Source organism: Homo sapiens, chromosome 17 (genome assembly GCF_000001405.40).
Source record: "Homo sapiens chromosome 17, GRCh38.p14 Primary Assembly".
Lineage (NCBI taxonomy): Eukaryota > Metazoa > Chordata > Mammalia > Primates > Hominidae > Homo > Homo sapiens.
Window position 1 is genome coordinate 27,799,212 of NC_000017.11, and position 27,722 is coordinate 27,826,933.

Genomic DNA, 27,722 nt, shown 5'->3' on the forward strand with positions numbered 1-27,722 from the left:
CAGGCAGGGTGAGGAAGAGCCCGGAGGTCGTTGAAACAGGGGTGCCTTTGCCTGACCCTGAAAGACACTTCCCAGCAGCTCTCATTATCAACTGTAGTTTTAGGTCTATTACTGGGGAAAGCACTCAAGCTGTAGCTACCTTTCTTTTAAAGATTTTGCAGTTGTTGTTCTAACTCAGCATTATTACTTGCTCCTCTTTTATTATGTGGGGAGGAAATATTTGTGAAAAATGCACTCATCCCTCGAAATCTGAGATCATCTCCTTTGAAACAGACAAGAGGAAGATCAAAGAGGCAAAAACTCTGTCTTTAGAAGACAGTGTAGTGAATATAGTCCATGTAAGAATTTTAGGCCAAGTGCAGTGGCTCACGCCTGTAATCCCAGCATTTCGGGAGACCGAGGCAGGAGGATCGCTTGAGTCCAAGAGTTCGAGTTCAGCCTGGGCAACATAGGGAGACCTTGACTACAAAAAATTGAAAAATTAGCCAGGCAGGCATGGTGTCTTGTGCCTGTAGTCCCAGCTACTCGGGAGGCTGAGGCAGAAGGATTGCTTGAGGCTGGGCAGTCAAGGCTGTTTCCAAAAAAAAAAAAGAAAGAAAGGGAAGGGAAGGGAGGGGAAGGGAGGAAAGGACAGGAAGGAAAGGAAGGAAAGAGGGAAAGAAAGAAAAGAACTTATAGCCCCATAGACCTGGGTTCAAATCCTGGAATCCTAGCTCTACCAGTTATGTGTCCTGGATCAAGTTATTTAACTGAAACTCATTTATTCATCCATAAAATGGGTTTAATATATCCATCTTACCAGGATTTGTGGGGAGGTTACATGTTATAAGGACTGATAAGATAATCTCTGTTAAAAAAAATTCTTAGCAGATACAAACTCCCATTTTGAACTTTTCAGAAAGTTTTTCCTTGTCATGTAACAACCACAGCTAATATTTGCAGAAAAGAAATCTGACCAAGATGCCATGTTCAAATGACCAAACCTCATGTCGGCATTTTTTTACCTAGACTTTCCAACACCTTCTCTCTGTAGGCAGAAAATTCCCACAATTTTCTGAGCCTTCTCAAAGAGGAAGAAACAAAACCCTCTCAAAACAGCCGCTTCCCCAGAAATGAAGGCAACTCACCTTGCAGCTGGCTGCACTGCCTCCCCGGGGTAAGGACAGTCAAACCAGGAAGAGACCTGTGCCTTGAGAACTTCGGGACTGTCTAGAACTGCCCAGTCCCCTCATCAAAGGTGGCCGAGAGATTTTAAAGCAGGAATGAGGCTGAGTTCTCTGCGGCCGGAGCCTCAGTTTTCGACTCGCTACAAAGTTATGAACACACTGGCAGCCAAGAAGTATTTATACTCACCCCATGCCATCCAGAGAGTTGTTTTTGCATAAAGGTCTCTTTTTTTTTTTTTTTTTTTTGGTTTCCAAAGGGAGTGTCCCCAGCTTGTGTACAGTTAGCTAATTTATGACTGTGACTGCCAGGGCCTGTGGGTGACCTGATCTTGCTGTTACATCACTCTGTGTGGTGCCTCTTCACCCAACCCACCTCTTTCTGGTCCCAAGTCCAAGGTGGCAGTTCATCAGCAGGGTGGCTGCTAAGATAGAGGCACCACGGAGCCAGGTTTTATTTGGCCAAGCCACATGGCCTCACTTTCAGCATCTGGGAGATTTTTTCCTCAGCAGGGAGCTCTCTGGTTAATCCCTGTCCATCCTCTCACTTTTCCAGCTTGTGACAGGAGTCCAGGAAGCTGGGGGAATATTGACAGTATGGAACACACTGGAAAATGCCCAGGTTCCAGAAGGCCAGTGATATTAGATGATGCCATTATTCCAGACAGGCCTCTGAACTAGTCACTTGAGGTTTTTGGAAGGGAAAGGAAGGAAGGCTATTGGCACAGAGAGGCCTCTGAGATGTTGGTCTTACTAACACCTCATCCTTTAGCACTAGGTAAGCTTTGGTGGAATGGCAGGTAGGATTAAATTCCTTCCCTTATAATGGAAATGATCACTTCTTACATGAAAAAGTGGTAATTTCTTATAATTTCATTTCATTTATTTTATTTATTTATTTATTTTTGAGATGGAGTCTCATTCTGTCACCAAGACTGGAGCGGAGTGGCACGATCTCTGCTCATTGCAACTTCTGCCTCCCAGGCTCAAGCGATCCTCCCACCTCAGCCTCCTGAGTAGCTGGGACTACAGGCATGCACCACCACACCCAGCTAATATTTTTGTGTTTTTGGTAGAGACTGGGTTTCACCATGTTGTCCATGCTGGTCTCGAACTCTGAAGCTCAAGTGATCTGCCCACTTCAGCCTCTCAAAGTGCTAGGATTACAAGGGTTAGCCACCATGCCCGGCCTATAATTTCATTCCTTATAATGCCTGAAATACAGTATTCCCATACATATGCATTTTTCCATCATAAAAGTAAAATAACAACTACATTAGGGAGAAGTTGAGAAGCAAAGGGAAAAAAAGTCACCCTTGATCTCACCGTCCCAACACTTTGCTACCACTGTCCACTCATTTCCTTCTTGTCTTTCCCAAGTTAAATTCAGCATAATATATTAACTTTGTCAAAGATAAACTAAGAGCCACAAAAAAGACATGGATATCAGAGCTCAAGGATCTTTGTTGAGTGAATGTGTGGATGAATGAATGAAAAATAGGAGTAAACTGGAATGAGTTTTAACATATCAAAGCCATCTTCCCTTCAGGCTTCAGCTCAATGCTGCGGCTCAATGCTGCGGCTTAGAGCTCTGGCTTATGGAGCATCTGCCACGAAGAGCAATGCATTTTAGAAAGTGACAAGATGGCCGGGCGTGGTGGTTCATGCCGGTTCAGTTCAGGTAAACAGCACTCAGGGAAAGAGTCAGAATCCTGGCCTTAGGGAGTGCAAGGCCTAGAAAAATAAATGGATAATTATAGTACAGAGTGATATCTGTAGTGATGGAGGGATGGTATGGTGCTGATGTAGCTGGTTCTGCCTTGTTCAAGGAAAGTTTACAAGGGAGAGGACACCAGGGCAGGGTTTTGAGGGATGATTAGGAGTTTGCTACACTCTATTCCCTGTAGCTGCTTTCACATATTCTGGCTATACCTGCAGCAAACACATGTATTAACACATTTAATGCCCCCACCCAAGAGCCTCTGAGGGGGATACTACTATTTGCTATTCATGGAATCCTCAAGAATCCCATCTACTTGGCCTCAAAGCACTTCGTTGATTTTCCTTCAGAAAATGCAGTTATTCAGTTATGTGATCTGTCAAACATGTCACCTCAGGTGCCCCTCTAACACAGCGTCTGCTTGGTGTGGCATTCTTGACCTGTGGCAGGGTTTGAGTCCAAGCACCAGGCTTGAGGACACATTTGGAATTAGCCAGCTGGGAAGGAAATATAATTTCTCCTCAATCATCTTAAGTTATTTGTTGGGAAAGACACTGTAACAAAAGACAGATTAATAATAGAGAAAAAAAAGCAAGTTTGTTAATGTCTGTGATGCACACCACGCAGGAGAAGCCTCAGTGAAAGTAACTCAATGCTGCGGCTTAGAACTCTGGCTTATGGAGCATCTGCCATGAAGAGCAATGCATTTTAGAAAGTGACAAGATGGCTGGGCACGGTGGTTCATGCCTGGAATCCCAGCAATTTGGGAGGCTGAGGTGGGCAGATTGCTTGAGGCCAGGAGTTCGAGACCAGCCTGGGCAACATAGTGAGATCCAATCTCTACAGAAAAATTGAAAATAAATTAGCTGGGTATGGTGGCATGCCCAGCTACTGTAGTCCTAGCTACTCAGGAGGATCAGGTGGGAGGATCAATTGAGTCTGGGAGTTAGAGGCTGCAGAGAGCTATGGTCGCGCCACTGCACCCTAGCCTGTCTCAGAAAAAAAAGGAAAAAAAAGAGGGAAAGGAGGAAAGGAAAGGAAAGGAAAGGAAAGGAAAGGAAAGGAAAGGAAAGGAAAGGAAAGGAAAGGAAAAGAAAGGAAAGGAAAGAGAGAAAGAAAGAAAGAAGAGAAAGGTGACAAGACGAATGCAGTTGTAGGCTTCCAGGGGTGGCAAGCTGTGAGAAGGTAAACATGTGGAAGTGAGCTAAGGAGTAGGATAGCAAGGTTTGTTTGTATTTGTAGATGGCTCTGGTGCCATCTCTGAGCTGATAAAAGTTATCTTCTCATCTTGATGCTGGGAAAGCATCTTTCTCCAAGGAATGTTTATGGCTTGCTGCAGGCAGGACAGGGCAGTTCAGATAGCCCTCTCTCTAGCTGCTCTTTCTCAAATGCCTTCAGCTGGAGATAATCAGGATGCCATATCGGCATATCTGGGCGTGGCATGTTCTGGTTTCCTTTAGCCTGAAAGGTCCCAGGTTCGAGGCACAGCTTCACTGCTGACCTACCATGTGATCTTGGAAAAGCCACTTCTCTCTGGGCCTGACTTTTCTCGTGACAAAAGGTGATAAAAATAAAAGTAAATAAACGAGATACAAGAAAATGCTTTGAGCCATTGAGCAAAAAGTCAGCCAAGTAAGAATTTATTATCCTTGCTGGGAGTCAGAGAGTAACAATTTCCCTTTTGACAAAGAGCAAGTGGATGCCAGGACTTGCCTTCTGAAGTATCCTTCCTCAGACAGGTCCCCGTCCCACCACAAACACCTGCTTTTAAATTCCCGGTCCTCTCTCTCCCTTTGTAACATTAAATTCATGTATGTATTTTTAATTTTTAATTGGAATAAATTTCACATAACATAAAATTACCAATTAACTATTTTAAAGTGTAAAATGCAATGGTTTTTAGAATATTCACAATGTTGTATAACCATGACCACTATCCCAATCCTCTCTTAACCGGCAAATAGGAAGAGGAGGAGAGTAAAAATAGTGATAATGATTGTGATGATACACAGAGGTTAGGAGACTCACCAAGGTCACACAGCAAACAGCCTTCAAGCCGGGACAAACAGTGAGCTTCTGGTACCCTCCCCAGAGCGCCTGTCTGCAGGGTCCAGGGCTGGCCCCCTCCTGGAGGTTGGCAAGTCTCCTACGGCTTCCTGGGCCTGCACGGCTGCCTTCTTCTTGGCCCTGCCCACCCAGCAGGCCGCATTCCTGGCCTCTTCTGATGATGGATGCAGCAGGTGAATTCTGCTGGGGAGAAATCAAAGAGCACCTTGAAGGGCAGGCGGGGGACAGGTGGGCCCCCCGGAGGGTGGCGATAGAGGTTCCGAGGCTGCTGTGGAGAAATGCCCTCCTCCCTGCCTTCCCAGGCTGTCCTAGGCACCATGCTGACAGCAATCAGCACGGGAATGTCTTGGGCTCATTATCCTGGAATTGATTTTCCACTGGATTGATTTGATCTGTTTCTATGCCAGGCTGTGAAGATGGTTCAGATCCAGTTAGCCCTCGGAAGTTAGCAACTTTGAAGGCTTTTCTACAAAAACAATTGATCAGAGCTAACGTTTACTGAGCAAGGCACTTAAACATACCAAGCATTTAATCCACACAACAGTCCTATGGGGTGGGAATGATCACTAGCCCCATTTTATAGATGGGGAAATTGAGGCTAAGCAAAGCCAAATGACTTGTCCAAGACCACACAGTCAGGTGGTGGCAGGGCTACAACCCTGGAGTCCCAGCTTGCACTTGCTCTGGTGCTTGCTCCATAAATACAGCCAGGCCCTGGGCTTTCCATTTATTATCTCAGTTAATCCTCCAACAACGTTGTGTGGCAGGTACTATTATAATACTATCCCCAATTCACCAATAAGGAAACCGAGACACAGAAAGTTTGAGCGACCAGCTCAATGTCACTCAGTTTGTAAGTGGCAAAGCTGAGGACTGACCCAGGTCTGAGACCTTGACTGGACCCCACTTGTGCGCCCACTGTGTGCTTACCCATTTTGCTACAGGTGAGTACACCCAGGGGCAAGGAGAGGTGACAATGAGAGAGTGGGAAACTGAGATCAAGGTAGGAGCTGAGGATTACCTGGGGTTGAATGTTCTCCCCTCCATGTCAGTGTCTGGTGCCAGCTCTGTGCAAGGCCATGGAAGGAGGAGACGGAGTTCCTACTGTGTGCCCCGCCTCACAGAAAGTGATAAAAATTTTATTTTAGAAATATATTTAAGGTTTAAAGAGAGCCAGTTTAAGGTAAAATGTTTAAGCAAATAACAGTATAGGTGCATGCAGATGTGACACAAATGATAAAGGTGGGACGTGAAGGAAACACAGGGGCGTGGCTCTTACTCTCTATTTGTGTGTGTGCATGTCCCGTGGCGAGTCACGTGTCCTGTGGGGCCTTCACTCCACTCAGCTGTCAAAGGAAGGCATTGAGAAGAGGCATTCCTGGGACCCTCCCGGTTCTGAGGCCCTAACAAGCTCAAGTCCCCAGACCGTGAGCCCTATGTCATTTGTCAAGTGACCACTGGAGGGCGTGAGTCACACAAATTCCAGCAGCTCCGAAGCTGAGGTCTTCCCCGGTTTCCACCACCTTGCCTGACTCGGAGATGACGGAAGTGAAGTGAAGGGATTTTTACTGGAAACGCCCGGTGGTCACTCCAGGATGGACAGGCCCAGGGTGGACCAGGAAGGTGGACAAGCTTTGCTGAGTCCCTGGAGTGTGACTCAAGCTGGCTGGTGCAGGCCTGGCACTTTGCTGCTGTTTCTTTTAAAAGCCTCGTTTCTTGTCAAGCCTCCCCAGAACACCCTCCCTTCCCTGCCCTCCCGTTTTGCTTCCTGGGTGCCCGTCCTTCTAGGCGGAGAAACAACAAACAGAGTGGCACCTGGGGTAGTCCCAGGGTGTGATGGTTCAAGGGGCAAGATTCAGGGGCAAGTAGTGTATCTGGGAAGTGCAGGGGACATCAGGAGGGGAATGAGGAAGTGAGACAGAGAAAGGGAGGCAGCTGGTAAAAGTACTATAGGGCAGCTTTCACGATTTGCAACCAGACTCAGCCCCACCAGGGAACTTGAAAAATGGTGCAGAAAACAGGGCTTCAAATGATCCCATCCAAGGGGCCAGGGGCTGGGCTACTGACCCAGCAGTTCCAGAGCATCACTCATTGAGGCTGCTCCCAGGGAGGTTAAATTCCCAAGGCCTGCTGTGGGCAGAGCAGCCTTCCTTGGTTCTGGGAAAGCCCTCTAGAATTCACAAAGTGCACTGGAATGAGACGAAGACAGACGTCACTGCTACAGGGGGTTTAGAATTGGGTCAAATGGAGGAAGAGAGGTACCTCCTCCCCAGGTACAGCCTCTGAGGGTGCTGGATGCTGATCCAAGAAGTTCTAAATGCCAAGAGCTTCAGCTAAGCCCACCCTCTTGTATCCTTCCCTAAGAAGCGCTGCATCTTTGGTTAGGCCACATAAGCCCTCCGGGCCTCCCTTTCCTCAGTTAAGGGTCTCTGAGGCCTTTCCAGCTGTGGTATCTGGGCTTTCTGAGTCTCCCCACCTCATACATATCTGGTCTTTGATGCTCTTGGAAAAGTTATCTTCCCCACCAGAGTGCCCCTGAAAGGCAGAATGTAGCAACGACTGGCAACTTCTGCAGAGCCTGACCACTGTGTGCACAGAGATGTCTGGAGCATCGCTCTCTACGAGAGCCAGAAACAACCCAAGTGATCAGCATAGAGAAAGGCACACCAGGCCAGCTTTATAGTGTACCATTACGTGGCCAAAAAAAAAGTGTATTAAGAATTTTTTGGCCAGGTGTGGTAGCTCATGCCTGTAAATTCTAGCATTTTGGGAGGCTAAGATGGGAGGATTGCTTGAGCCCAGGAGTTTGAGACCAGCCTTGCCAACATGGCAAAACCCTGTCTGTACAAAAAATACAAAAATTACAAAAATTAGCCAAGTGTGGTGGTGAACACCTGCAGTCCCAGCTACTCGAGAGGCTGGGGTGGGAGGATCGCTTGAGACCAGGAGGTCGATGCTGCAGTGAGCTGTGATTGTACCATTGCACCCCAGCCTGGGCAACAAAGTGAGACCCTGTTTCAAAAAAAAGGATTTATTTAGCTGGGCATCGTGACAAGCACCTGTAGACCTAGCTACTAACTGAGGTGGGAGGATCACTTGAGCTGAGGAATTAAGAGACCGCAGTGAGCTATGATTGCACCATTGCACTCTCCAGCCTAGGCAACAGTGAGACTCTGATCTCTTAAAAAAAAAAAAAAAGAGTCTTTATGATAAGAAATAATGTTCATGATATCAGTAGAAAAATGATAACCCCTAACATGTAAAATAAAGACAGAAAAAATGTGAGAAAAAAATACTAAAATATTAAAAAGTGGTAGAATTATGGGCAATAGTTATCTTTTCTTTACCCTTCTCTGTATTTGCTATCTGTGCATATGTTAGTTTTATAATATAAAAAGTGACTCCTTACTTTTTGAAATACTATCTCAGACGTGTGGCTGTGCCAGTAATTCACCTTTCCCAAAGGAAAAGAGCCTCTAGCACCCATTTTCATTACAGGAGGCACAGAGAGGGCGGCTGCCCACGCCCCTGGCTGTTCTGCAGGAGTTACACCGGTTTTCTGAGCATCGTCCGTGAGTTTTCCAAGCTGGGCCCTGGGGATCCAGTGGTGAGTGATGGCAGACAAGCTGGCTGTCTCTCTCCCTCCCCACTCTGCTGCCAATAGAGATGGCAAGATGAGTCCCAGAGCCTGTTGGAGGCGGTGCATTTGGGGGACAGGGGCTGCCTCCTTAAAAACAGAGTGGAAACCAGGGGGACAGGCCAAGTGCATCGAAATGCTAGGACGGTTGGCCAAAGCTGAGCGGCTCACTCTTGAAACAGAGGTGGGGTCTGGCTCTTGGTGGGTGAAGGAAGAATTGGAGGAAGGGAGGAAGGGTAATTCCTCCAGCAATTTGAGTGGGAGGCTGTGGGGGGCAAGCTATTAATAACGGCAGAGGCCACTGTCAGGCAGACTCAGGGACAAGTCTCAGGCCTGCCACCTAAATTCATCTGTGGGCATTGGAGAGGTTACTTTTGGTTTCAGTTTGCTTATCTGTAAAGTGTGGATAATCACAGAGTCCCCACCTCCTCAAGCCTTGGGGAGGAGTAGCGAGAGGATGTACGCAGCACCTGCCCTGCAGTTCAGCTTGAGCACGCTCCTATCTTGCCAGAGCCGGAGCGTAGCTGTAGCTTTAGCAGAGCAGCAGCACCGAGCTGGCTGGCTCTGCCTACTGCTATTCTCCCAGCACCTGGCACATGCTGGAGCTCAAGAAACAATGCCCAGCTGACTGCCAGGGCCTTTTTAATGTGTTATCTCATGCATTCCACACCACCACACTGTGAGGTGAGCTGTGTCAACCCTATTTTACAGATGACAAAATTGAGGCTTAGGAAGATTAAAGAATTTTTCCCAAGATCATACAGCTAAAGCTGCAGAACCAAGATTCAGGTCCATTTGATTCCAAATGCTTCTGGGAGGAGCATCTTAGGGACACCACCGGTCTGAGGCTCAAGGCAGCCCTCTCTCACCCAAGACCAAGCTCTTGTAGACAACAACTGTTTAAAGGGCAAAGACAGCTCCTGGGGAAGAGGCAGGAAAATCAATGAAATGATCTGTGATGCTGTCAGGGCCCTGGAGGAAGGACTGAGCAATGCAGGAGTTCCCCAGGGGCTCCCGGGAGGGCCCAAGAGGCCAGGTGGGGGCGGGGTTGGGCAGGGAAGCCTGGGGGAGTACTCTCAGAGGAGGTGACAGTCCCCAACAGGAGGAAAGGCTGTCCTCCTGCTGAGCTTACAAGGGAAGCTCCCATGCCGGAAGGAAGAACCTTGAACTTCTGCTTCCAATACCTGTGTCTAGCCTGTCTCATCCTGGCCTGCATTTCAGAGCTCCCCCCAACTCCAGGAGCTCTCTAGTAAGCCATGCCTTTGCACACACTGTTCCCTGTTGCTGGAATGTCCTTCCCGACAGCTCCCTAGCCCACCCTTGCCCTGACTCGAATCCCCTTCAGACTCTGCTTTACTTCATGGCATTGTTGCCTCTAGGGGCTCCCCTGACCCTCCATCCTCAAGCCCCTTGGGGTTCCCCAAATCCCTTAGGCTCCCCTCTCCTCAACACTGATCCCACTGTTTTAATTGTGGTCTCACTGCTCTGTCTCTTTTACTAGACACAAGCTTCCCAAGGCCAAGGTCATGTCTCACATCTCTGCAGCACCAGCAGCATGCTTGGCCCAGACTAGGTGCTCAGTGGATTTTGTTTTGTTGAGATAAAAAGTCACGTGCCATTAAATTCCCCCATTTAAAGAGTATAATTCAGTGGTTTTTAGTATATTCACAAAGTTATGAAACTATCACCACTATCTAATTCCAGAACGTTTTTGTCACCCCAAATAGAAACCCTGTACCCATTAACAGTCACTCCCTATTTCTTACCCCCAACTCTTAGAAACCACTAAATCTACTTTTTTTTCACTATAGATTTGCTTATTTTGGATGTTTTATACAAATGGAATCATATAATATTTGGCCCTTTGTGTCTAGCTTGTTTCACTTATAATGTTTTTGGGGTTCATTCACGTGGCATGTTTAAGTTCTTCATTCTTTTTATGGCTTAGTAATATTCCACTGTATGGATATACCACATTTTATGCATCCATTCATCAATTGATGGCCATTTGGGTTGTTTCTATTTTTTGGTCACTGTGAATATTGCTGTCCAAATATAAATGTTTGAGTACAGGTTTTTGTGTGAACATGTACTTTCAATTATCTTGGAATAGAATTGTTGGGTCATAGGGAAACTTTATGTTCAACTTTTTTGGGGTACTGCCAGACTATTTTCTGAAGTGGCTGCTGCACCATTTTATATCACTACCAGCATAGGAAGAGGGTCCCAATCAGTCCACATCCTTGACAACACCAGTAATGGGCTTTCTTTTTTGTGTCATATAGCTTCTAGTGGATGTGAAGTAGCCAATGGACCATTGACGAATGAGTGAGTGACAAACGGATGGATGGATGGATGGATGGATGGATGGATGGATGGACATATGGGAGTAGATACCTGACCCTGAGTTCTGAGCTCTGATTTTGGTGGGACAGCCTGCTTCCCTGAGGACCTGCATCAAGTAGAGACATAGCAACCTGCAGCCTGCCCCTGACCATCGTGGTTCCAGATGTCCAATCTGCCTTCGTCCTCGGTGGCTCTTAAGCACACAGGTGACCTGGATTCCCCTAAGCCTGTGGAAGGCCCTGGAGGGGGCCCCATTCTGGGTGACACAAGTTTTATTACTCATCAGTTTCAGTTTCTTCTTCTGTGAAATGGAAGGAGAAAGAGAAAAGTCACACAAGTTTCTGCAGAGGGTGTGGCACATAGCAGGTCCACAATAAATAGGAGTTTCGTTTTTCCAGTCTGTTTCTCATCCAGTGTGTATATAAATGCCACTCCACTAATTATCTACTGGAAAAGAGCTTGAGAAGTGGGGCAGTGGAAAGGAGGGGGGACGGGGAAAGCCAGGCAAGAGATTTACATATGGCAGGAAGCTGCAGCAGGTCATCGAGGGAGTGGGAGTCACAGAGCAACCCTGGGAGGATTGTCACAGGCTTCGGAAGAGGATATCCTCCCAGCCATTTGCATACCCAAGCACCACTCTTACTGTCAGGAAGACCTGAGCCTCCTATTTAGGCCTTTGGATGGGTGTGGAGAGAGGGCAGCATCTAACTAGTGCTGATCTGAGATCAACTGCAGGTCCCCAGGCAAACCCCACAGAAGGGTGAATCAGATTCCAAGGCCAGTGAATTTTATCCATTGTGCCAACCTTCATAGACAAGGAATGGCTGCTCAGAGCCTTGCAGTGAGATCAATGTTAAAGTTCTGTAGTTTTAAGGCTCAGTAGGAAAAAGTAGCCACCCGCATCTGCCCTGGGCAGATGACCAATGACCTGTATTTACTGCCCCTGTTCTAGACCAGTACAAGATTAGCTGTCTGTTGGGTAGTTTCCATGTAAATAGTTTGTTACCTGGGGCAGTTGAAAGGTCAGGAGGAAAAGAAGAGGGGATTAAAATAAATTGCTGGAACGGGGGACTGGCGGCGGCAGTGGTGCTCACTTGAGGCTCCAGCCTGCAGTGAGCATTGAGCACTTAATTTATGGAGTGCTCAGCTGAGGTTGCCACTAGCTGCTTACGAGAGGCCAGCAGCGCCGTGAGCCAGGCCCACTTAGGGAAGATTCTTGGCTCATCCATGTGACTCACCTTCCTCATACGTAACATGGGGACAATGGGGATATATGTCACAGGGCTGCTGTTTATCTTGCCGGATGATCTAATGCACATGGATGAAGAAGGGAATGTGGGAAATACATGCTCTCAGTCTTAACAGAAGGGAAAACTGAAGCCCGCAGTGGGTTGGAAGAGGTGGAGAAAATGCAAGAAACACAGACAGCTTTGTGATTGCAACTTTGTTCCAGGTCCTGGTTGTGTCTTTAATTCCATATTAATTGTTTTGTCTTTAGTACTTAACTCCTATCTGGAAGAACTCCTCATTAGCCCATCTGCCCTGGCATGGCCCACTTCTGAGGGGTTTCCTTGGCCTGTTTCCCTGATGTGTATCATGTGACCCCTCCAGTTGCCTGGACAAGGGTGGGCATGTCACCAGGGAGCAGCCAGTGGCCTCAGAGGTACCCTGATGGACCTCAGGCCCTGCAGGTTTGAACTGGAGACAGAAGAGTGGTGATTGATAGCAGAGTTGGTATCCAAAAGCCCCCCAGAGAGATGACGGATGGAGCTGCAGGCAGAAGAAGCCTGCAGTGGGGAGTACAGGGCAGGTTGCTGCAGGAGGAGCAGGGAGTGAGGGGTTGAGCTCCAGACCAGGACGCCACAGGCAGGCAGGGTGGAGAGAACCCAGGCCCTGGAGAGAACTGCCTTCAGGGTCCCAAAGTCTCCCCAGGCTGCATGATTCCCGCCATGTGGCCCAGCTTCCTTATTGCCCAGAGTTTTACCGTAACCTCTTGCTCTCTGGAAGAACCTGTTCAGGGAACTTGCATTTTTGCAGCTCCATGACAGAGTCTGGCACAGGTACTATTGGTTAATTGAGGAAGTCTGCTATTTTATGGCACAAATGAGAGCCAGCAGTTTGCAGGCATTGAGGAAGGAGAGGCGTATGGACTATGATAAGGGACGACCCTGGAAAGCACCCTGATACGGCATTGGCTAGGGTTCTGAGGAAGCTAATAACTTTGCCGAATTTTGTTGGAAAGGCAATCAACCTTTTTACAGCCCTATTAATGACTTTATCAAATCACTGCTTTTATGATCTCTTGGTGAACCCATCAATCCACGTAGAACATGAAGACTCTTGGGTTTTCTCTCCATGAGGCGAGAGAGGTTGAACCACTCGCATAACGTTATGTGGCAGTTACTGTCTAACTCAGGGAATCCTTCAGGAAGATCCTCAGCTCCCCTGCTACCTTCCACATACCCAAGCTGCTGTCTGTCTGAATATGCTTTTCCCCATGTAACTCAGAGTGTCGGGAGGATGGGGGAGGATTCCCAGAACAAGTGGCACCTAAACAGGGTTTGGTTTGTTTTTGTTTTTGTTTTAAGACAGCGTCTCACTCTGTTGCCCAGGCTGGAGTACAGTAGTGTGGTCACAGCTCACTGCAGCCTCGACCTCCTGGGCTCAAGTGATCCTCCTGCCTCGGCCTCCTGAGTAGCTAGGACTACAGGTGCATGCCAAAACCTGGCTAACTTTTTTTTTTTTTTTGGTAGAGATGGGATCTAGATTTGTTGCCCAGGATGATCTCAAACTCCTGGGCTCAAGAGATCCACCTACCTCAGCATCCCAAAGTGCTGGGATTACAAGTGTGAGCCACGGCACCTGGCCTGAGCATCTTTTTACATGCTTGTAAAAAGCATGTAAAATGTCTTTATCTTCATTGGTGAAGGGTCTATTCAAACCTTTGCTCAATCTTTAAATTTGTTTTTGTTTTTGTTTTGAGAAGGAGCCTCGCTCTGTCACCTAGGCTGGATTGCAGTGGCACAATCTTGGCTCACTGCAACCTCTGCCTCCCAGATTCAAGCGATTCTCCTGCCTCCGCCTCCTGAGTAGCTGAGACTACAGGTGCCTGCCACCATGCCTGGCTACTTTTTGTATTTTTAATAGAGACAGGGTTTTGCCATGTTGGCCAGGCTGGTCTCAAACTCCTGACCTCAAGTGATCCACCCGCCTCGGGCTCCCAAAGTGCTAGGATTCTACCATGCCTGGCCCCGGTCTTTAAATGTGTTATTTATTTTCTTACTGTTGAGTTTTGTGGATTCTTTCTGTAGTCTGGGTACAAATCTTTTGTTGGATATGGGGTTTGCAAATATTTTCTCCCAGTCTTTGCAGTTTCTTAAAGTGTATCTTGCAAAGCAAAAGTGTTAAATTTTATTGAACTACAACTTGTCAATGTTGTTTTGTGTGGATCACTGCACAAGGGTTTGAAGAACGTATTCACTGAGCTGACAAGGAAAGAAAGGGAGTTCTAGGCAAAGCAAACAGCACATGCAAAGGAATGGAGGCCTGAAAAAGTGGGCTGGGGTTGGGGAATTCTAAGTACAGTTGACCCTCGAACAATGTGGGGGGTTAGAGGAACTGACCCCTGCACAGTCTGAAATCCGTGTATAACATTTGATTCCCCAAAAACTTTACTAATAGTCTACTATTGACCAGAAATCTTACCGATAACATAGTTAATTAACACATATTTTTATATGTATTATATACTGTGTTCTTACAATAAAGTAAGCTAGAGAAGAAAAGTTATTAAGGCAATCATAAGTGGCCGGGCAGGGTGGCTTATACCTGTAATCCCAATACTTTGGGAAGTTGAGGCAAGAGGATCACTTAAGGTCAGAAGTTTGAGACTAGCCTGGGCAACAAAGTGAGACCCCATCTTTACAAAAAAAATTTTTTTTTAATTAACCGAGCACAATGGTGGATGCCAAGTAGCTAGTCCCAGCTACTTGGGAGACTGAGGTGGGAGGATCACTTGAGCCCAGGAGTTCAAGAGTGCAGTGAGCTATGATTGCACCACTGTACTCCAGCCTGGGCAACAGAGCAAGACCCTGTCTCAAAAAATATATATTTTTTTATATATTAGAAGGGAAAATATATTTACAATTCATTAAGTGGAAGTGGATCACAATTAAGGTCTTCATCCTCATCATCTTCAGGTTGAGTAGGTTGAGGAAGAGGAGTGGTTGGTTTTGCTGTCTCCTCTCAGGGATGGCAGAGGCAGAAGAAAATCCACTTATAAGTGGGCCCATGCAGTTCAAACCCCTGTTGTTCAAGAGTCAACTGTAGCTCAATATTGTTGAACTACAATATTGTACACTTAATATTGGTACACTACAAAATTGGTATACTCCTCAGTACCAATTTTCTGTATTAGTTGATATGCATTGTTATAAAGGAATACATGAGACTGGGTAATTTGCAAAGAAAAGAGGTTTATTTGGCTCACATTTTGCAGGCTGTACACAAAGCATAGTGTTGGCATCTGCTTCTGGTGAGGGCCTCAGGAAGCTTCCAATCATGGCAGAAGGCAAATGGGAGCCAGCACATCACATGGTGACAGGGAGCAAGAGAGAGATGGGTGTCGGAGGGCAGTCCTCAACTCTTTTTAAAAACCAGATCTTGCATAAACTCAAGAGTGAGAACTCACTCATTAACATGAGGATAGCCTCAAGCCATTTATGAGGAATCCGCCCCATGACCCAAATACCTCCCCACCAGGGCCCACCTCCAACATTGGGGATCACATTTCAGCATGAGATTTGGAGGGGACACTATGATTCTAGTGTGTGCATCCATGTGTGTATCTGTGCATGTGTGTGGCTGGGAGGGGAAGGGAAATGACTGGATCATAGAAGGGACCAGATCATAGGCTCTTGGGGGCTGTGCCAAGGAGTGTGGGCCCCTCATCCTATAGGTAAGAGAGCTACCAAAGGGTACGGCAATTGCTCACTTTTATTTTTGTTAACTTTTTTATTATAAGAATTATATGTGGCTGGGCACAGTGGCTCATGCCTGTAATCCCAGCACTTTGGGAGGCTGAGGAGAGTGGATCACTTGACCCCAGGATTTCGAGACCAGCTTGAGAAATATGGTGAAACCCCGTCTCTACAGGGCAAAATGCTGGTTAAAAAATTAGCAGGTGTGGTGGTGCATGCCTATAGTGCCAGCTACTCAGGAGGCTGAGGTGGGCGGAACACTTGAGCCCGGGAAGTTGAGGCTGTGGTGAGCCAAAATCACACCACTGCACTCCAGCCCAGATGACAGGAGTGAAACTCTTTCTCCAAAAAAAAAAAAAATTATATATAATTTATTGTAGAAAAATATAGATCAATGAAAATATGATTAAAACTCTATATACTTCTACCACCCAGAGGGTAGTTACACTATTACCATTTTGGCTGGTTCTTCTGTTCACACACAAACACACACACACACACACGTAATTTTTCTATAAAAATGAGATCACTCCATATACACTGTTTTGTAATGTGGTATTGTTTTTGCTTAATAAATAATATATGTGACTGGTTTTCCATGCCATTATTCTTTTACTGTATCATTTTTTGTTAAGATAAAGTTTTTTCCTTTATTATAATTTAATGTAATATTTCATGCATTCAAATTAAAGCATTACATTACAAATGTAATCTTATGAATTACCATGGACTCCCATCTGGCTACAGGATGAGAAAAACCTACTCCCATCATCTCTGTAGGCTAGCATATATTTAGTTCTTATTATGCGCTAGATACTGTTCTTTATGTGCAGTAACTCCTACAGCCATCGAAAAAATTCTCTGAGATAGTGATATTATTATCACCATGTTACTATGGGGAAAGGCACAGAGAGGTTCATCAGCTTACCCAAGGTCACACAGGGGATGAGTGGAAGAAGTAGGGCTAGAAATGTTGGAGATGGACTTGAAGATGAATTTATATGGAAGATAAGGGAGCAGAGGTGACAGCAGTGACTTCTGGGTTTCTGGCTGTTGAGACTGGGGGGCAGGGATGCCCCTGACTGAGATAGGAAAGGCAGGCCGAGGAACTAATTTAGGACAAGGATAAAATCAGGAAGTCTATTTTGGAGGCGTTAATGTTAAAGGACCTGTGGGACATGAAAATGGAAATGAACAAATGACTATAGAATGAACAAGTGCATGAATGAATTGATGAAAGACAAATCCTCAATGATATGGTTTGGATCTGTGTCCTCACCCAAATCTCATGTCAAATTGTCACCTTCAGTGTTGGAGGTGGGCCTGGTGGGAAGTGATTGGATGGTGGGGGTGGATTTCCCTGTTGGTCTGTTTTCGTAATAGTGAGTGAGTTCTCATGAGATCCAGCTGTTTTAAAAGTGTGCAGCACCTCCCCCTTCTCCGTCAGTCCTGCTCCTGCCATGTAAGATGCCTGCTTTGCCTTCTGCAATGAATAAAAGCTTCCTGAAGCCTCCCCAGAAGCAAATGCCAGCATCATGGTTCCTGTACAGCCTGCAGAACTGTGAGCCAATTAAACCTCTTTTCTTTATAAATTACCTAGTCCCAGGTATTTCCTTCTTTTCTTTTCTTTTTTTGGCAAGGTCTTGCTCTGTTGCCCAGGCTGGAGTGCAGTGGTGCAATCTTGGCTCACTGCAACCTCCGCCTCCCGGGTTCAAGCGATTCTCCTGCCTCAGCCTCCTGAGTAGCTGCGACTACAGGTGCCTGCCATCACACCGGCTAATTTTTGTATTTTTAGTAAAGTCTGGGTTTCGCTATATTAGTCAGGCTGGTTTTGAACTCCTGACCTCAGGTAATCCACTTGCCTTGGCGTCCCAAAGTGTTGGGATTACAGGCATGAGCCACCGCACCCGGCCTAGTCTCAGGTATTTCTTTATAGAAATGTGAGCATGGACTAATCAGGCAAGATTATTCTCAGCACAGCAACAGACAGATCTGGCCCATCATGTTAGGAAACCATAAGTTGAAGTGTAATGATGGGAAGGTTCACAGCTGCTTACAACAGGCCAGGGCAGAGAGGATGCATAGACACACAGGATGGGGGCAAGTTGTTTTCAGTGATGTTTATCAAGTACCCAGGATCCAGCAGCTGCTCCATCTGGGAGTGGCTGCTGCTTTCTCTCCTGGGAAGATTCCTTCTGATCTTGGGAGTAGGATTTGGGGTGAAGGCTGTGTCCAGAACTGGGTCCTGCCACCCCAACACCCTGCTGAGAACAAGGCACATTCCTTAGCACTCAGGGTAGGAGAGAGGCGGAGGGATGGAGAGGCTTCAATCCCCCTTCTCGGGAGACAAAGGGCTCTTCATGATTTAATTAAAATGCCCATCAAAACCTCAGAAGATAGGGGTTAGTTGAGATGAAATAAAAATAGTTGGAGTGAACACATTACAATTTCATTTCATTTCAGGGATATCTATGAGGTTCTAATATTAGAGAGAGACTTAATCTATCACTAAATTCCTATCTGGCCTGCCACACTGGGGGCATTTCTGAAGATGTCCAAATTCTGTTTTGAGAGGCCTGGAGAGTCCTCCGTCCTTTGTTTCTCTGTTCGAGGAGAACCACAGAGTGTGACAGTGTTTGGTATGTGGCAGGCACTCAATCAATATGTGCAGAAGGAAGGAGGGAGTTTCTTCTTTACTCCTTTAAGCTTCAGATTTAGAATTTGCCTAATCTTGGGGTGAGACAAAGCCTTGAGACCTCCACAGAGGTTTCCTTTGCATGGACAACTTTTCCTCCAGATAACACATGACTCACTTCCCTGCACTTCCAGTCTTTGCTCATGTGTCACCTCCTCACTGAGGCCAGCCTTGCCACCCCTATTTAAAATGACAGCCCTCCTTCCCCCAACCCTCCTGACCCCCCCACCTTGCTCTGTGCATCTCCCCCAGAGCTCAACCTCACACCTTACATCATTTACTTACTATTTGTTCATTGTTTCTCCTCACTAGAATGAAGGCCCCACAAAAGCAGGGATTTTTGTCTGTTTTGCTTATGGATGTATAAGTGCTATGCATAGTGCCTGCCTCAATAAATATCTGTTGGACAAATGCATTGATTAATAAGGCAGAGAAGAAATTTTTGTTAATTGCAATTACTATTGCTTTCCAAAGAGAGCAGACTCCAAGGATAATCCCGGGATAGTACAGCCCACAGATCCGAAGGTGCCTTATTCCCAGGCGCAGCTTCCCCACAGACTCCGGGTGTTCAGGAATAAACCCCGAGTCAGGGAATGAAATACTCCTCCAGCATCAACCTGAGGGCCAAGGCCCTACCTCCACACCCACTCCCTGGCTCGGTGCCCATCAGCCAAGTCCAAACCCACACAAGTTGTTCCCACTCTGGAAATGGTGGGGGAAAAAAACCAACATCCAGTGCCAGAAATCAGTGTGATGTACACAAAAGCTGCTTTTTTGCCTTTTGCAGATGCAGAGTGGCTGCCCAGGCTCACGTAGCCAGAGAGCAGGCCCTGGGGAGTGGTCCAGGAAAGCACTGGACAGTAGTCATCTGTCTGGAAAATATTAGCCCACAGTCTGATGTCTTCAAAACCTGAGCCAGGTCACCCTTTCTCTTTCACTGACAGAAATAAACAGTTCTTGGTCTTGAAATACACAGGACTTTCCCCAGTTACTGCTGCTGCTAGCACTGGCTTACTTAGTCTTTCATGGTTTAGAGCCTGTTTTCCTCCGGAAGCAAAATTTGGCTTGAGCGATATGAAGAGTAATGAAAACATTTTAAAATGCAAAGCTGGGTTCTTTTTCCCAAGGGTAGCTTCTTGGAAATCTCTGGTTTTTCCAGCAACAGCTGAAAAATTGAGGCCTAATGGATACTCTGTGTTACAAAGTCAGAGAACTCCACAGATGGAAAGAATCAACCTCCTTTCCCTGGATGCCCTTCATTTTAGAGCTGATGACGCCAGATGACGCTAGATGCCTAGAGCATCTAGACCCACTCCCCTTCATTTCTTCCTCCTGACCCATAGTCTAGAGACTTTGAAAACACTACAGGTGTTCAGATTCCATTTAAAGACTAGAGCTCGACATTAAATGCAGCCTTCCTATCACTATGTATGGGGGAGAGATAGTCTTTTCACTAAATGGTACTGGAACAATTGGATTTTTATATGAACTATAATGAACATTGACTCCTACCTCAAATCAAACAGAAAAAGGAATTAAGACAGATCATAAACCTAGATGTGAAAAGTAAAGCAATAAAGCTTCTAGAGGAAAACAGGAGAATATCTTCATGACCTTTGGGCAGGCAAAGATTTCTTAAACAGAACACAAAAAGCACTAACCATAAAGAAGAGATTGTTAAATTGGACCTCATTAAAATTAAAAACCATCCTTCATTAAAAGATATTATTAAGAAAGTGGCCAGGTGTGGGGCTCACACCTATAATCCTAGCACTTTGGGAGGCTGAGGCAAGAGGGTTGCTTGAGCCCGGGAGGTCGAGACCAGCCTGGGCAACATGGTGAGACAACATCTCTACAAAAAAAAAAAGTAATAATAACCAAGCATGGTGGTGGATGCCTGTAGTCCCAGCTACTTGGGAGGCTTAGATGGGAGGATCACTTGAGCCCAGGAGGCTGAGGTTGCAGTGAGCTGAGCCAAGATCATGCCACTGTATTGCAGCCTTGGCAACAGAGCAAGACTCTGTCTCCTGTCTTAAAAAAAAAAAAAAAAAAAAGTGAAAAGGCAAACTGTGGACTGATATCTAACAAAGCATTTGTGTCCAAAATATATATCAAACTTCTATAAATCAACAAGAAAAAGACAAGAAAACGACAAATAATTCAATGTTTAGAAATACTAGAAAATTCTTACTTCACAAAGGAGAATATCCAAGTGACCAACAAGCATTTGAAAAGGTGCTCAACATCATTCATCTTGAGGAAAATGCAGATTAAAATCTGCAATGAGATACCACGATGCACCTACCTAAATGGCTATAGCTAAAGAATTTGACTGTATCAAGTGTTCTTGAGAATGTGAAGCAACTTTACTAGTGGAGTGTGCTTTGGTACCACTGCTTTGAGAAACTGCTTGGCAGTAACTACTAAGACAATAGCACAAAATGTGTGCATAATATGTTCACCAAACACAGTGCAGCACTAATCATTGCATCCCAGACTGGAAATAACCCAGATACCCATAACAGGAGAATGGGTAACTGAATACATAGTGCTTTATTCATAATTATTTCTAATTCTCATCATAACTCATTCTTCCATGTCGTATATTCATGATTATTTATAACAAAATATTGTACAGCAGAGATTGGTGAACTGTGACCCACAGGCCAAACTGTAGCCTACTTTTTGTTTGTGTGTTGCTTATTACTGCATTTGAGCTATGATGGCAGGGTTGAATAGTTGTGACAGAGACTATAGCTTTCATAACCAAAGGTATTTATTATCTGGTTCTTTGCAGAAATAGTTTGCTGACCGCTGGTAAACAGCAATGAAAAAGACAGACTCTCTATTATGTGCAAAAACATGGATGGATCTCACAGACATAATGTGGGGTAAAAGAAGCCAAATATGGTTGGGCATGGTGGCTCGTGCCTGTCATCCCAGCATTTTGGGGGGCCAAGGCAGGAGAATCACTTGAACACAGGAGGTGTAGGTTGCAGTGAGCTGAGATTGTGCCACTGCACTCCAGCCTGGGAGACAGAGTGAGACTCTGCCTCAAAAAATAAGAAGCCAAATACAAAAGAGTACAGCCCGTGTGATTCCATTTACACAAAGTCCAAAAACAAACAAAATTAATCCATGGTGATAGAGGTCAGAATAGTAGTTACAGTAGTGGCAGGGAGGTATGAGGAAGGGGCTCAAGGAAGCCTATGCTGTAGATCTTGATGGGGGCAGTGGTTCAACAGGAGTATAATTATGTCAAAATCAATCAAGCTGCACAATTAGATTTTGTGCACTGCATATCACTTCTACCCTAATTTTTGAAAAGGGGATCAATTGCTGGCCTCCAAGCAGGGCCTGCCACATGCAAAGCAGAGTGATGCAGTTTCCTCCTTCACCCCAGAGATTGGACGCAGTAATAGTAGGGCCATGTCACAGTCCCTTTCTGAATAGAGCACCCCCAGATGGTGGCTTTCCTACCCACAGGCCACCACGTATAATACCACTTGACCCCATCAACCTGGCTCCAAATTCCTGGATCCAGCTGATGGTGCCAAAGCCAACCTTCCATGTCTGGTCCTCAAACTTTAGTCCACTTACAAACCACCTGGGGGCTTGCTAGCAACACCGATTCCAGGTCCCTCTTCTCCCAATTCCTAGTTTTTTTGAGTCCTGGGTGGGATCCAGGAAACTGCATTGTCAGCAAGTCCTGCAGGTGATTTTGATGCAGATGGACCAGAGACTACACTGGAGAAACGCTCTGTGCAGGCTGAGGGAGTGGGCATGAGGAGGCAAAGGGGAGAAGGCAAGAGGGTGAAATTGCTCTTGACCAGAAAGGGAAGCAGGAGAGAGCTAAGAGGAAGATGTAGCGGAAGAGGAGGTGAGTGAGGCTGAGGGAGAGCAGGCGATGAGGTGGCCTTGATGAAGTCTGGCCATGTGGTGTGTCATGGAAAACCTGTTTCCTACCTCTCCACCAAAGAGTTGGTAAAATATCTGTTTATCAAGGGAACCACCCCCAATATTTCAACGTAAGTTCTCTTCTATTTCCCTAAGTGTCAGCCAGTCTGAGAAATAAAGGGAAAGAGTACAAAAGAGAGAAATTTTAAAGCTGGGTGTCCAGGGGAGACATCACATGTCGGCAGGTTCTGTGATGGCCCCCAGGCCGCAAAACCATTAAGTTTTTATTAGTGATTTTCAAAGGGGAGGGAGTGTATGAATAGGGTGTGGGTCACAGAGATCACATGCTTCACAAGGCAATAAAATATCATAAGGCAAATGGGGGCAGAGCGAGATCACAGGACCAGGGCAAAATTTAAATTGCTAATGAAGTTTTGGGCACGCATTGTCATTGATAACACCTTATCAGGAGACAGCGCTTGAGAGCAGACAACCAGTCTGACTAAAATTTACTAGGCAGGAATTTCCTCGTCCTAATAGGCCTGGGAGCGCTACGGGAGACCGGGGCTTATTTCATCGCTTATCCACAACCGTATAAGACAGACATTCCTAGAGCAGCCATTTTAGAGACCTCCCCCTAGGAATGTGTCTCTTTCTCAGGGCTGTTCCTTGCTGAGAAAAAGAATTCAGCGATATTTCTCCTATTCGCTTTTGTAAGAAGAGAAATATGGCTCTGTTCTGCCTGGCTCTCAGGCAGTCAGACCTAATGGTTATCTCCCTTGTTCCCTGAGCATCGCTGTTATCCTGTTCTTTTTTCAAGGTGCCCAGATTTCATATTGTTTAAACACACATGCTTTATGAACAATTTGTGAAGTTAACGCAATCATCACAGGGTCCCGAGGCAACATACATCCTCAGCTTACGAAGATGATGGGATTAAAAGATTAAAGTAAAGACAGGCATAGGAAATCACAAGAGTATTGATTGGGGAAGTGATAAATGTCCATGAAATCTTTGCAATTTTTGTTCAGAGATTGCAGTAAAGACAGGTGTAAAAAATTATAAAAGTATTAATTCGAGGAACTAATAAATGTCCATGAAATCTTCACAATTTATGTTCTTTTGCCATGGCTTCAGCCAGTCCCTCTGTTCAGGGTCCCTGACTTCCCACAACATCTGTTTCTTATTAATATGCTATGAGGTTGGCATTTGCAGGGTGTGTTGAAGGGCTGAGTCCACCTTTACAGGGTGAAAAAAGAGGCTGTCCAGAGAGGTTCTGTTCTGTCACATGTGGATTTGATTACTGTAGAGGAAAATGAGTATCACCCTCCTCCCAGCACTTGGGCTCAGTCATTCCCATCAAACCTTCTGTTGTTTTTTTTGTTTTTGTTTTCTGGTTTTTGGTTTTTTTTTAGATGGAGTCTCACTTTGTTGCCCAGGCAGGAGTACGATGACTCGATCTTGGCTCACTGCAACCTCCACCTCCTGGGTTCAAGCCATTCTCCTGCCTCAGCCTCCCAAGTAGCTGGGATTACAGGCGTGCCACCACGCCTGGCTAATTTTTGTATTTTTAGTAGAGACGGGAATTCACCATATTGGCCAGGCTTGTCTTGAACTCCTGACCTCATGATCCACCCACCTTGGCCTCCCAAAGTGCTAGGATTACAGGTGTGAGCCACTGCACCTGGCAACCCTCTGGTTTTCTTCATTTGGTTCAGGTTGAAAGTTGCCTCAGCCCATATTCAGATACATATATGTGTAGGTGTGTATGTAGATTCCTGAGCAGGCCCCTATGGGCAAGACCAACCAAGCCAGATGATGTGTTGTGAATGAAAGAGTGGGCATGAGATAAATTACATTAAAGAAATTGACGACGTCTTTTGTAGCTTACAGACAAACAGCAGGTCTTTAGGGACTGATACGCTATAACCTCCAAGGTAGATATTTAAGTTTAAAAAGCAAGGTGTTTTAGTATAATATGATTTCTGAACAATTAGTGGGGGAGGGATGCATCTGTAGGTTTTTATACATTAAACGTCTTAGGAAGAAACATTGAAAACTAGCAGAGTGATGGGCTCCAAGAAGAGAAATTGGGCATGGAAGATAATCAAGCTTGGGAATAAGACAATTCTTTTTAAGGAACAGGGTCTCATTCTAGCTCCTGGCTGGGGGCCTCCTGGCTGGAGGGCAGCAGTGCCATTATAGTTCACTGCAACCTCAAGCTTGCAGGCTCAACTGATCCTCCCACCTCAGCCTCCCTAGTAGCTAGGACTACAAGCATGCACCAGCACACCCAGCTAATTTTTAAAAAGTTTTTGTAGAGATGGGGTCTCACCACATTGCCCTAGTTGGTCTTGAACTCCTGGGCTCAAGCAATCCTCCCGCCTCGGCCTTCCAAAGCACTGAGATCACAGGGGCATGAGCCGCTGTGCCCGGCCCAACTTTTATTCTATATTCTTTGATGCTGTTTTTTTCCCTACATAAATTTTATCTATTTAAAACATTTTAAATTGAGGGAGGAAAGAAGGAAAAAAGGACAAGAGGAAGGGAAGGAAGGAGGAAACAGTATTCCTAGATGGGTATTGGCTCCTGAAGAGCCAGTGCAGAGTTGAGAGCTGTTCCAGCACATGAAGCAAGCACGGGCCCTGGAGGATACTCCTCTGGCCACCACTGATGCCCATGGGCAGGAAGCCAAGTTGGTTCACCAAGCCAGGGCTCCCTCCTCCATCACTTCATCCATGGACTGTGGGAAGACTGTGTTGTCTTAAAGTCATGCCCACACCCTGGGTGGAAATGCCGTGGTGTACTAATGTGGAATTTCCAGCAGCTTCTCTAGCACAGTACAGTTCAGAGATTGTTTTCTTTGTGTTAACATGGCCAAGGTTGAAGCAAGAAGGCTGAAGTGTGGAAAGTGCAGAAATTTGGAAAATACATGAAGGGCTGTCAAACGGCCTCCTCCTGGTCACTGTCAGAGCACCAAGACCTGACAGGCAGGATGGCAGTGGCAAAGGCTCTAGGCCCAGACTATCTGGAATCAAATCCTGGCTTTTCTACTTGCAGACTGTAAGACCCTCCCGAGCATCATTTCCCCTGAGAACCTAACAGAATCTACCACATAGGGCTGTGGTGAGAATGAAGTGCATTAATGTATACAATGTTTAAGCAGGGCCTGGCAGAACAAACACACAGCAGATGTTAGCTGCTCAGGCTATTGCATCTTATCTGAATTCTAACAGCTCCTTGTAAAGCAGGTTACTTTGATACTCCGAAGCTTAGGTAAATAGACTTCATAAGGGCTACCCAACGGAGTCTCTGCTACCAAGCCCAGGGTTTGGCCCACGACATCAGCATTTCTCAAACCCTATTTGAGAACCCTTAGTATCCCACCAAAATTTTAATAAATACTACTCCAAAACAGGGTTTTGTGACCAATAAGTTTGGGTAACACTGGTTTAAGTGAAATTAAGCAGGTTATTTGCTGCAGAATTTATCAGAACCTTTACAGTGCCAATGAATGTGTGGCTCTTAGATGGAGTAGCATTTCCCAAGTCATTCGACCATTAAATAATTTTCTTTTTGTAGTACACTATTAACACCTAGAGGAACATTAGGGTTGTATATAGAAAATAACTTTGGAGGTGCTATGTTACTGTATAGGACAGGCATGGTTAGAGGAAATCATCTGTTTTCAGGCCAGTCTCCATCAAAGAGAACGTCTTCAAAGTAGACTGTAGAACATACCTGGGCATGGTGGTTAAGAGGGAGATAATGAGTTGTGGAAAGAACATGAGTACTAACAGCGGGATCTGAATTCAAATTCTGACTCCTCCAACTAGGGGAAGGCATTTGCTTTCGCAGAACCTCAATTTCCTCATCTATTGGTTGGCAGACTAGCATCTACTTCATTTTGTTGATTTAAGATTTAAATGTCAGTGGCCCCAAAGTGATTGCCACATGATAGTTTCTCAGGGTCAGTTTCCTTTTTGTATCAGTCAGGATGTTTTCAGTGGCAAATAGCAGATTGCCAAACTTAAATTGGCTCAAACAAAAAAAAAAAGCGGGGGGAATTTATCAACGTAAGCAAACGTCCAGGTTGGGGTTTATCAGAGTTTGTGGTGTCCTTAGAGCAGGTGGGAATTCTCCCCACCAGAGAGCTTAATGCCCAGGCCTGGAAAATTCTAGACTGACAATTGTATATAGATGATCTGCAAGTGCCTTGATCCCTAGGGGTCAACACATATCCACCAAAAACAAGTCATTTGCACTTTTGCAGATCATCTTTAGTTTCCCCTTTTTCAAAAGGATTATTTTTTCAGGGGGCCGTGATGAAGCAATCAGTCTCAAGCCACGTGGGCAGGCAGCCCCAACAGCTATGAGAATTTTCAGAAGGAGTTTACAAAAGCATAGCCCAAGAGCCTACAGTTTTACTAATAGAAACTGCTGAAAGTAAAGCCTACAAAATCTCTTTGGCTTGTAGAAATATTTTAAAAACTGAAATAATTAATTATTGCATAGGGCATGGGCAATAAGAAATAAAAAGTTTAAGAAGCACAACCATGGATGTACTGTAGCAGAATAATAGCAGCTGCCACTGGTGGAAACACTGCTATAGTTCCATGTAAAACACATAGAATTTTGACTTTTCTATTAAAGCACAATTTTAAGTGTTTTTATTAAGGTGCATTAGTTGTATGTATGCTGCTCAGTGGATTTTTTTTTTTTCAGTTTTTATTTCTTTTTCTCAGTCAGGGTCTCACTCTCTCACCCAGGCTGGAGTGCCGTGGCACAATCTCGGCTCACTACAGCCTTGACCTCCCAAGCTCAGGTGATCCTCCCACCTCAGGCTCCCGAGCAGCTGGGAATACAGGCATGCACCATCACACCTGACTAATTTTTGTATTTTTTGTAGAGGTGAGGTTTTGCTGTGTTACCCAGGCTGGACTTGAACTCCTGGCCTCAGCTCAGTCTTCCAAAGTGCTGCGATAACAGGCGTAAGCCTCCGCACCAGGCCAGCTCAGTGAATTTTTATGCACATACACATACACATCTATACCTACCATTCAGATCAAGATATAACACATCTCCAGCTCCCCTTCATGAATGCACCAGTTGATGAAAGTTCATTCATGCTCCTTCCTTGTCCATCCCCTGCTTCAGGAACCAGTATTCTGATTCATTTTGCCTGTTCTTGAACTTCATAAAAGTGGAATCACATAGA

At 45.6% G+C, this 27,722-nt stretch overlaps 1 protein-coding gene across 1 annotated transcript in view, besides 63 other annotated features; it reads right to left on the bottom strand.

Annotated features, from left to right (window-relative positions):
• NOS2 (nitric oxide synthase 2) overlaps positions 1-1,318 on the bottom strand; it is a 43,764-nt gene extending 42,446 nt beyond the window's left edge. Inside the window, exon 1 of the mRNA NM_000625.4 lies at positions 1,128-1,318. The gene's annotated coding sequence lies outside the window, so the exon portion shown is untranslated. The remainder of the gene's footprint in view (positions 1-1,127) is intronic.
• Positions 947-1,747: a DNaseI hypersensitive site, noted in NCBI's record as "HS I; the nucleotide coordinates are approximate for this feature". NCBI's record gives the evidence for it as "EXISTENCE:in vivo cleavage assay evidence [ECO:0001075][PMID:11159021]".
• Positions 947-18,053: a biological region, named in NCBI's record as "NOS2 5' regulatory region". NCBI's record gives its function as "regulatory_interactions: NOS2".
• Positions 1,151-9,606: a promoter, noted in NCBI's record as "-8296/+168 promoter fragment". NCBI's record gives its function as "drives expression in lung, intestine, spleen, kidney, liver" and the evidence as "EXISTENCE:reporter gene assay evidence [ECO:0000049][PMID:9704020]" and "EXISTENCE:transgenic organism evidence [ECO:0001131][PMID:15507544]".
• Positions 1,231-1,523: a promoter, noted in NCBI's record as "-205/+88 core promoter". NCBI's record gives the evidence for it as "EXISTENCE:reporter gene assay evidence [ECO:0000049][PMID:8607810]".
• Positions 1,231-2,348: a promoter, noted in NCBI's record as "-1034/+88 promoter". NCBI's record gives the evidence for it as "EXISTENCE:reporter gene assay evidence [ECO:0000049][PMID:8607810]".
• Positions 1,282-18,053: a promoter, noted in NCBI's record as "16 kb promoter; BamHI/EagI fragment". NCBI's record gives the evidence for it as "EXISTENCE:reporter gene assay evidence [ECO:0000049][PMID:8577713]".
• Positions 1,343-1,348: a TATA box. NCBI's record gives the evidence for it as "COORDINATES:motif similarity evidence [ECO:0000028][PMID:22349263]".
• Positions 1,370-1,396: a protein binding site, noted in NCBI's record as "STAT site NOS-2". NCBI's record gives the evidence for it as "EXISTENCE:protein binding evidence [ECO:0000024][PMID:15950906]".
• Positions 1,376-1,383: a protein binding site, noted in NCBI's record as "P-Oct". NCBI's record gives the evidence for it as "EXISTENCE:protein binding evidence [ECO:0000024][PMID:22349263]".
• Positions 1,376-1,383: a protein binding site, noted in NCBI's record as "P-Oct". NCBI's record gives the evidence for it as "EXISTENCE:protein binding evidence [ECO:0000024][PMID:26271992]".
• Positions 1,420-1,437: a protein binding site, noted in NCBI's record as "NF-kBd". NCBI's record gives the evidence for it as "EXISTENCE:protein binding evidence [ECO:0000024][PMID:9712833]".
• Positions 1,442-1,466: a protein binding site, noted in NCBI's record as "STAT site NOS-1". NCBI's record gives the evidence for it as "EXISTENCE:protein binding evidence [ECO:0000024][PMID:15950906]".
• Positions 1,470-1,498: a protein binding site, noted in NCBI's record as "RARE". NCBI's record gives the evidence for it as "EXISTENCE:protein binding evidence [ECO:0000024][PMID:17306764]".
• Positions 1,475-1,495: a protein binding site, noted in NCBI's record as "KLF proximal site". NCBI's record gives the evidence for it as "EXISTENCE:protein binding evidence [ECO:0000024][PMID:12590140]".
• Positions 1,492-1,519: a protein binding site, noted in NCBI's record as "XBE". NCBI's record gives the evidence for it as "EXISTENCE:protein binding evidence [ECO:0000024][PMID:20637858]".
• Positions 1,492-1,520: an enhancer, noted in NCBI's record as "AABS". NCBI's record gives its function as "enhancer when multimerized" and the evidence as "EXISTENCE:reporter gene assay evidence [ECO:0000049][PMID:12958187]".
• Positions 1,495-1,515: a protein binding site, noted in NCBI's record as "C/EBP site 4; AABS". NCBI's record gives the evidence for it as "EXISTENCE:protein binding evidence [ECO:0000024][PMID:9685183, PMID:11474579]".
• Positions 1,569-1,590: a protein binding site, noted in NCBI's record as "KLF distal site". NCBI's record gives the evidence for it as "EXISTENCE:protein binding evidence [ECO:0000024][PMID:12590140]".
• Positions 1,628-1,658: a protein binding site, noted in NCBI's record as "TCF11/MafG site". NCBI's record gives the evidence for it as "EXISTENCE:protein binding evidence [ECO:0000024][PMID:17928287]".
• Positions 1,833-1,855: a transcriptional cis regulatory region, noted in NCBI's record as "AP-1 site". NCBI's record gives its function as "negative regulation of promoter activity" and the evidence as "EXISTENCE:site-directed mutagenesis evidence [ECO:0005528][PMID:11919177]".
• Positions 2,258-2,281: a protein binding site, noted in NCBI's record as "rs1800482 Ku70 site". NCBI's record gives the evidence for it as "EXISTENCE:protein binding evidence [ECO:0000024][PMID:16105645]".
• Positions 2,335-2,350: a protein binding site, noted in NCBI's record as "-1026C/A AP1 site". NCBI's record gives the evidence for it as "EXISTENCE:protein binding evidence [ECO:0000024][PMID:20430007]".
• Positions 2,335-2,350: a protein binding site, noted in NCBI's record as "-1026 YY1 site; binding is increased with C allele at rs2779249". NCBI's record gives the evidence for it as "EXISTENCE:protein binding evidence [ECO:0000024][PMID:19402223]".
• Positions 2,335-2,350: a protein binding site, noted in NCBI's record as "-1026C/A NFI site". NCBI's record gives the evidence for it as "EXISTENCE:protein binding evidence [ECO:0000024][PMID:20430007]".
• Positions 2,821-2,838: a protein binding site, noted in NCBI's record as "DR4". NCBI's record gives the evidence for it as "EXISTENCE:protein binding evidence [ECO:0000024][PMID:11891851]".
• Positions 2,821-2,838: a protein binding site, noted in NCBI's record as "DR4". NCBI's record gives the evidence for it as "EXISTENCE:protein binding evidence [ECO:0000024][PMID:11891851]".
• Positions 2,821-2,838: a protein binding site, noted in NCBI's record as "DR4". NCBI's record gives the evidence for it as "EXISTENCE:protein binding evidence [ECO:0000024][PMID:11891851]".
• Positions 2,821-2,838: a protein binding site, noted in NCBI's record as "DR4". NCBI's record gives the evidence for it as "EXISTENCE:protein binding evidence [ECO:0000024][PMID:11891851]".
• Positions 2,839-2,859: a protein binding site, noted in NCBI's record as "-1532 FKHRL1 site". NCBI's record gives the evidence for it as "EXISTENCE:protein binding evidence [ECO:0000024][PMID:16687394]".
• Positions 3,882-4,017: a transcriptional cis regulatory region, noted in NCBI's record as "CCTTT microsatellite region". NCBI's record gives its function as "length of microsatellite is correlated with promoter activity" and the evidence as "EXISTENCE:reporter gene assay evidence [ECO:0000049][PMID:10506586]".
• Positions 3,882-4,017: a tandem repeat, noted in NCBI's record as "CCTTT microsatellite region". NCBI's record gives the evidence for it as "COORDINATES:sequence alignment evidence [ECO:0000200][PMID:9434180]".
• Positions 4,667-4,691: a protein binding site, noted in NCBI's record as "HMGA1 site 6". NCBI's record gives the evidence for it as "EXISTENCE:protein binding evidence [ECO:0000024][PMID:18279675]".
• Positions 4,676-4,815: a transcriptional cis regulatory region, noted in NCBI's record as "-3506 to -3375 regulatory region". NCBI's record gives its function as "postive regulation of promoter activity by Hmga1" and the evidence as "EXISTENCE:deletion mutation evidence [ECO:0005510][PMID:18279675]".
• Positions 4,693-4,717: a protein binding site, noted in NCBI's record as "HMGA1 site 5". NCBI's record gives the evidence for it as "EXISTENCE:protein binding evidence [ECO:0000024][PMID:18279675]".
• Positions 4,720-4,744: a protein binding site, noted in NCBI's record as "HMGA1 site 4". NCBI's record gives the evidence for it as "EXISTENCE:protein binding evidence [ECO:0000024][PMID:18279675]".
• Positions 4,748-4,776: a protein binding site, noted in NCBI's record as "HMGA1 site 3". NCBI's record gives the evidence for it as "EXISTENCE:protein binding evidence [ECO:0000024][PMID:18279675]".
• Positions 4,778-4,814: a protein binding site, noted in NCBI's record as "HMGA1 site 2". NCBI's record gives the evidence for it as "EXISTENCE:protein binding evidence [ECO:0000024][PMID:18279675]".
• Positions 4,855-4,884: a protein binding site, noted in NCBI's record as "HMGA1 site 1". NCBI's record gives the evidence for it as "EXISTENCE:protein binding evidence [ECO:0000024][PMID:18279675]".
• Positions 5,137-5,156: a protein binding site, noted in NCBI's record as "TBE1". NCBI's record gives the evidence for it as "EXISTENCE:protein binding evidence [ECO:0000024][PMID:16849547]".
• Positions 5,214-5,239: a protein binding site, noted in NCBI's record as "NF-kB site 4". NCBI's record gives its function as "mediates induction of transcription by histamine" and the evidence as "EXISTENCE:protein binding evidence [ECO:0000024][PMID:17478759]".
• Positions 6,129-6,729: a DNaseI hypersensitive site, noted in NCBI's record as "-5.0 kb to -5.3 kb HS cluster (HS II, III, IV, V in A459 cells): the nucleotide coordinates are approximate for this feature". NCBI's record gives the evidence for it as "EXISTENCE:in vivo cleavage assay evidence [ECO:0001075][PMID:11159021]".
• Positions 6,252-6,546: an enhancer, noted in NCBI's record as "tiled region #4166; K562 Activating DNase matched - State 4:PromP, and HepG2 Activating DNase unmatched - State 4:PromP". NCBI's record gives its function as "activates a minimal TATA promoter and a strong SV40 promoter by Sharpr-MPRA in K562 cells, with weaker activity in HepG2 cells {active_cell/tissue: K562 | HepG2}" and the evidence as "EXISTENCE:reporter gene assay evidence [ECO:0000049][PMID:27701403]".
• Positions 6,274-7,321: an enhancer, noted in NCBI's record as "-5 kb to -6 kb enhancer; -4556 Eco47III site to -6006". NCBI's record gives the evidence for it as "EXISTENCE:reporter gene assay evidence [ECO:0000049][PMID:17158780]".
• Positions 6,413-6,430: a protein binding site, noted in NCBI's record as "AP-1d". NCBI's record gives the evidence for it as "EXISTENCE:protein binding evidence [ECO:0000024][PMID:9712833]".
• Positions 6,511-6,531: a protein binding site, noted in NCBI's record as "GAS site". NCBI's record gives the evidence for it as "EXISTENCE:protein binding evidence [ECO:0000024][PMID:12788789]".
• Positions 6,513-6,533: an enhancer, noted in NCBI's record as "-5.2 NF-kB/STAT1 site". NCBI's record gives its function as "enhancer when multimerized" and the evidence as "EXISTENCE:reporter gene assay evidence [ECO:0000049][PMID:17158780]".
• Positions 6,513-6,533: a protein binding site, noted in NCBI's record as "-5.2 NF-kB/STAT1 site". NCBI's record gives the evidence for it as "EXISTENCE:protein binding evidence [ECO:0000024][PMID:11438703, PMID:12788789]".
• Positions 6,599-6,616: a protein binding site, noted in NCBI's record as "AP-1u-GAS". NCBI's record gives the evidence for it as "EXISTENCE:protein binding evidence [ECO:0000024][PMID:9712833, PMID:12788789]".
• Positions 6,857-6,916: an enhancer, noted in NCBI's record as "active region_11910". NCBI's record gives its function as "activates an Ori minimal core promoter by ATAC-STARR-seq in GM12878 lymphoblastoid cells {active_cell/tissue: GM12878}" and the evidence as "EXISTENCE:reporter gene assay evidence [ECO:0000049][PMID:35858748]".
• Positions 6,947-7,186: an enhancer, noted in NCBI's record as "active region_11911". NCBI's record gives its function as "activates an Ori minimal core promoter by ATAC-STARR-seq in GM12878 lymphoblastoid cells {active_cell/tissue: GM12878}" and the evidence as "EXISTENCE:reporter gene assay evidence [ECO:0000049][PMID:35858748]".
• Positions 7,103-7,122: an enhancer, noted in NCBI's record as "-5.8 STAT1 site". NCBI's record gives its function as "enhancer when multimerized" and the evidence as "EXISTENCE:reporter gene assay evidence [ECO:0000049][PMID:17158780]".
• Positions 7,103-7,122: a protein binding site, noted in NCBI's record as "-5.8 NF-kB site". NCBI's record gives the evidence for it as "EXISTENCE:protein binding evidence [ECO:0000024][PMID:11438703]".
• Positions 7,103-7,122: a protein binding site, noted in NCBI's record as "-5.8 NF-kB site". NCBI's record gives the evidence for it as "EXISTENCE:protein binding evidence [ECO:0000024][PMID:9614127, PMID:11438703]".
• Positions 7,439-7,458: a protein binding site, noted in NCBI's record as "TBE2". NCBI's record gives the evidence for it as "EXISTENCE:protein binding evidence [ECO:0000024][PMID:16849547]".
• Positions 8,051-8,061: a protein binding site, noted in NCBI's record as "-6.7 NRE". NCBI's record gives its function as "negative regulation of transcription" and the evidence as "EXISTENCE:protein binding evidence [ECO:0000024][PMID:12381793]".
• Positions 8,826-9,826: a DNaseI hypersensitive site, noted in NCBI's record as "-7.6 kb to -8.2 kb HS cluster (HS VI, VII in A459 cells; HS V, VII in AKN-1 cells); the nucleotide coordinates are approximate for this feature". NCBI's record gives the evidence for it as "EXISTENCE:in vivo cleavage assay evidence [ECO:0001075][PMID:11159021]".
• Positions 8,868-8,987: an enhancer, noted in NCBI's record as "active region_11912". NCBI's record gives its function as "activates an Ori minimal core promoter by ATAC-STARR-seq in GM12878 lymphoblastoid cells {active_cell/tissue: GM12878}" and the evidence as "EXISTENCE:reporter gene assay evidence [ECO:0000049][PMID:35858748]".
• Positions 9,523-9,685: a silencer, noted in NCBI's record as "fragment chr17:26135760-26135922 (GRCh37/hg19 assembly coordinates)". NCBI's record gives its function as "represses an EF-1alpha promoter that drives an FKBP-Casp9 reporter gene in an ReSE screen in K562 erythroleukemia cells {active_cell/tissue: K562}" and the evidence as "EXISTENCE:reporter gene assay evidence [ECO:0000049][PMID:32094911]".
• Positions 9,580-9,597: a protein binding site, noted in NCBI's record as "NF-kBu". NCBI's record gives the evidence for it as "EXISTENCE:protein binding evidence [ECO:0000024][PMID:9712833]".
• Positions 9,601-11,646: an enhancer, noted in NCBI's record as "-10.7 kb to -8.7 kb; SmaI/SpeI fragment". NCBI's record gives its function as "cytokine-responsive enhancer" and the evidence as "EXISTENCE:reporter gene assay evidence [ECO:0000049][PMID:9227487]".
• Positions 11,074-11,403: an enhancer, noted in NCBI's record as "active region_11913". NCBI's record gives its function as "activates an Ori minimal core promoter by ATAC-STARR-seq in GM12878 lymphoblastoid cells {active_cell/tissue: GM12878}" and the evidence as "EXISTENCE:reporter gene assay evidence [ECO:0000049][PMID:35858748]".
• Positions 11,189-13,989: a DNaseI hypersensitive site, noted in NCBI's record as "-10.1 kb, -11.0 kb, -11.5 kb HS cluster (HS VIII, IX in A459 cells; HS VII, VIII, IX in AKN-1 cells); the nucleotide coordinates are approximate for this feature". NCBI's record gives the evidence for it as "EXISTENCE:in vivo cleavage assay evidence [ECO:0001075][PMID:11159021]".
• Positions 11,544-11,565: a protein binding site, noted in NCBI's record as "-10.2 Oct-1 site". NCBI's record gives its function as "positive regulation of transcription" and the evidence as "EXISTENCE:protein binding evidence [ECO:0000024][PMID:19467240]".